Source organism: Homo sapiens, chromosome 4 (genome assembly GCF_000001405.40).
Source record: "Homo sapiens chromosome 4, GRCh38.p14 Primary Assembly".
Taxonomy (NCBI): Eukaryota; Metazoa; Chordata; class Mammalia; order Primates; family Hominidae; genus Homo; species Homo sapiens.
The window spans coordinates 180,639,700-180,644,043 of NC_000004.12; the positions used below are offsets into that span (position 1 = coordinate 180,639,700).

Consider the following 4,344-nt stretch of genomic DNA (forward strand, 5'->3'; position numbering starts at 1 on the left):
ACTGACTTTCCTTTCCTAAGGTTCTTGTGTCCACCCAAATTTCCAAAGTACACGTCCAGTCCAAAGGGTCAGTCCTATTTTTCATCATTTAAAAAAGATGGACTGATGTTCCATCTTTTTGCTGAAAGCATTCCCTCTGGAGGTCTCCAACAGTCTCCTGATACCAAGGCAGTGAGCCTGGACTGCCAATCCTGCAGCACCCAGTGACACAGCTTTCACAGAAACACACTCAAGTCTACTTCCCTGGGGCACACCCAGAGTGACAAAGGCATCTCTAGAGGGGGTACATGATGTTTCCAGAAGTGGTTCTCTTCAGACACATTTTCTGTCTGGATGCTGAACCTTGGTCATTGGTCACTGGTCTGGGATATCTGAGATCCTTCTTTCTTTCTTTTTCTTTTTTTTTTTTTTTGGATACTCTCACAAACTCTGCCTGTGTTTTACTAACGATTCACTTCTGTCAAGACCAATGGAAGAAACGAGGCTTAAGCATTTTGAATTCAAAGAGATAGGAGTTGGTTTATGAATGCTTTCCTCCCTGAAGACTGATGCCCAGGCAAATTTAGCTCCAGCCTCTTCTTTAAGACAAAAGCAAAGCTTCCAGAGAGCAAAGGATGTGCAACCACAAACACAACCTCATGTCTACACGGTTGGGCTCCTGGCGGGCTAGACCCAAAAGAAAAAAGAAAGAAGATTCTAATTGCTTCCAATTGCTTCACATCTACATAACTAAAGGAGACAGTCAGATGATTCTTCCATAAATGAAGGAAGTTTGCTTCAAAGTGACTTGCAGCATTGAAGAAGCAATGTTCTAAGCAAGGGGAAGAAGGGACCAGTGGTGACATTATGGAATTGTTTAGTTACCATTTATGAAGTGCTAACTCTGTGTTTTATACCTCTGTAGTTATTTCCACTCAATATTTCAACCAATCCAACATTATGAAATATTGAGAGAATACAATATAAAATACAGTGTGTAAAATACAAATGAGAGTACTGAAATCAATCGTTAACTTCAATAACTTGTCCAAAGCCAAATCTGGGGTTCCAAAATCTACTATTATCTTTAGGGCATGCTTCATCTAGTACATGTTACATACATGTGATAATGCTTTCTAAGTATATATTTTATATATATATATATGAGATTTTCATATATAAGATTTACCCCAGGGATACAGGTTCTTAACCCCATTTTACAGATGAGAAAACATAGACTTAGAAAGCTTGTTACTTACTTAAGATCAAAGACCTCAAAAAACCCAGACATTATCACTATCTCACCTGCATTCTAATTTCTTCACCTGATTTTCTTACTAATAATTTTGGATTAACTAGCATGGGATTTATTATGCAATGTAGTAGCTAAAAACAAACAAACAAAAAACAACTCCATTAAACCATGTTTAACATGTACTGGATGAAGCATGCCCTAAAGATAATAGTTATATATTATCAGATATATATAATATATATTTTTTATATATATATATATATATATATATATATATCTGAACATGATGAAACACCTTGACCAGTCTGTTTTTCCTGTAGGTCCATGAAGTAGGTGGCTGTGTCTGTCTCGTTTACAGTTTTATTGCAAATGCCTAGCATGCTGCCTGACACGTTGCAAGTACTCAGTAAATATTTCATGAATAAACGATTGTTGAATAAATTAAGAGATACATAAAATCATTGCAATAGAGAAAAAAATGCTAATTTTTCAAGTTCATTACCCTGCCAGAAAGACTGCCATTGTGTCCTTGCTAATACTGAACAGATCCTTTTGTAGAAAATTCAAATTTTATTACAAAATGCAAATAAAGGTGAGAGCTACATAGTTATTGATGATTAAAATAAAACATAAAATTTGATGTTGAAACCTTTAGAGGAGTTCAAATGATTTTATAAAATGCAAGGAAATATTATAGAAGCAGCTAATGCCAAGTCGTACTAGGAATGAAACTCACAAGTCTCAGTCTACAGAAAACACGGTACATGTGCCACCATTTGGTGAGATTATGGAGTTGCAAATAATTATTGCTAATTTCACATCACACTATTATAGGGAAGTTCCTTGCATAATGTAATAATTTATATTATTTAAAATTGGAAATAATGTTTATGGTGTTTACAGCATGGCTAAAATTACGCATAGAATTGTAAAATATAAATCCATGAGTTTAAAACGTTACAAGAGTCACATTTTCAGTTTGAAGACACTTAAGCAATTGTGAAATAAGTCGAAGGAAAGATTTTTGCTTACCTGACCACTAATAGTGGTTGTACATGTTCAATTTCTAACCAGTATAAACAGAGCCAAAGAGATTCAGAGCCGTGTGGCATCATTTATCGTCAAAGTTGACGGGACCCAAGAGGCTACACTGTTTTGATGTCTGAGGCTTGACCTTACACTAATGAGAACGGATTTTCTTATGTGGGTCCTAAATTGACTCTGACGTCAGTTCCCAAAGAGGAGCTCCAGAAATGAATTGAACAGAGAAAACATCCTAGGAATAAGTGTATTTTCTAATGAGGGGACGCCATTATTGGACAAGGAGCTCCAGGTTACCTCAAAATCAATTCTATGAAGAGAGAGTCTCACTAGCGATCATTTTTGTGGTAAAATCCCCCAATTCTGCCTGACTCTCTCGTAAGGCTTTTCTTTTTTTCCTTTTCTTGTGTTTTTGTTGTTGGTGGTGGTGGTGATGATGGTGTTGGTTTTGGAGACAGTGTCTCGCTCTGTCACCCAGGCTGGAACGCAGTGGTGCGATCTCGGCTCACTGCAAGCTCCGCCTCCCGGGTTCAAGTGCTTCTCCTGCCTCAGCCTCCCGAGTAGCTGGGATTACAGGCACCTGCCGCCACGCCCGGCTAATTTATTTTGTGTGTGTGTATTTTTTTGTTTGTTTTTTGTTTATTTTTAGGGGTTTCGCCATGTTGTCCAGGGTGGTCTCCAACCCCTGAGCTCAGGTGATCCACCTGCCTCCGCCTATCAAAGGCTTGGAGGGATTACAGGCGTGAGCCACCGCACCCGGCCTCCTGTAAGGCTTTTCTGGCTAGGCTTTCTCTCTCCTACAGACGCGTTTAGTCCTCTCCATGGAAGAGGACAGTGCCCCGCGCAGACAGGCTCCCTGGGAAAGCTAAGCAGTACCAGCTATAGGCGACCACAAAGAAAAAGGTGTTTGGGGTAAAATTTTTAACTCTGCCTACCTATCGGCTCTTTCTTCCATCTGATTATTCTGCCACTTGTTGATTTTGCCACTTGTTGATTCCGAGCAAGAGCAACTTTAGAAAATTATACGGTCTGATAAATATCAGGGTTTTTTTCCAATTTGTTTTTGTTTCCTGATTATCTAATTCACACTTAAAAAAAAAAAGGCCAAGTGGGTGATGGCTCACATCTGTAATACCAGCACTTCAGGAGGCTGAGGCAGGATAGACAAAAAAAAAAAAAAAAAGTAATAGCTGTGTGTGGTGGCATGTACTTGTCATCCCAGCTACTCAGGAGGCCAAGGCAGGAGGATTGCTTGAGGCCAGGAGTTCGAGACCAGCCTGGGCAACATAGGGAGACTGTCTCAAAAAAAAAATTAAAAAAAAAATGAAATTAGCAGGAGTGGTGGTATGTGCCTGTAGTCCCAGCCTAGCTGATTAGGACGCCCAGGTGGGAGGATCCTGTGAGCCTGGTAGGTGGAGGCTGCAGGAGCCGTGATTGCGCCACTTCACTCCAGCCTGCACTTCAGCCTCCGCAACTACAGCGAGACCCTGTCTCAGGAAAAAGAAAAAAAAAAAAAAAAAAAAGCTCTATGCTTAGCTTAGCATGCACAGAATAAAAAAAATTAGAGCAGTACAGAAGTTCAGTTTTGATATATATGTTTTAAGGTAAAATTTATTTCTCTAACATACTTAAAGCTTACATGGGTAGTTGCTGAAAAATTCTGGGTTATGAGATATAATTCAATTCTCCTGAATAAATCAATTCAATGTGTTATATTGATGGAATAAATAAGTTGTATGTTGAGTAAGAAATATTAGAATTGTGCTGAACAGCTAATGAATTCTCTGGAATTGTATCCCATCTGTAGACAACCATTTGGATGTACTTCTAAGAACTATCATATAAAATGAGCATAGTCCCTATCTAACTATTTGACACGTATGAAAACAAATAACGCCTCTGTGAATGAATAAACTTCTCCAATTTGGAGGCAAGATTCCTTAACTTTAGCTATAGAATTGAGAATCATATCATATATGCCGTTAGTTAATAATAAAATTTAAAATATCATGTAGTTCAGGAAGAATAATCTATCCTATTCTGAACAGAAGTCATACCTGTTCAGGCCA

General features: G+C 38.4%; 1 annotated feature.

Moving 5' to 3' along the window:
• Nucleotides 414-1,100: an enhancer, noted in NCBI's record as "OCT4-NANOG hESC enhancer chr4:181561266-181561952 (GRCh37/hg19 assembly coordinates)". NCBI's record gives its function as "activates a minimal SCP1, AML or CMV promoter by ChIP-STARR-seq in naive and primed H9 embryonic stem cells {active_cell/tissue: H9 hESC(naive and primed)}" and the evidence as "EXISTENCE:reporter gene assay evidence [ECO:0000049][PMID:30033119]".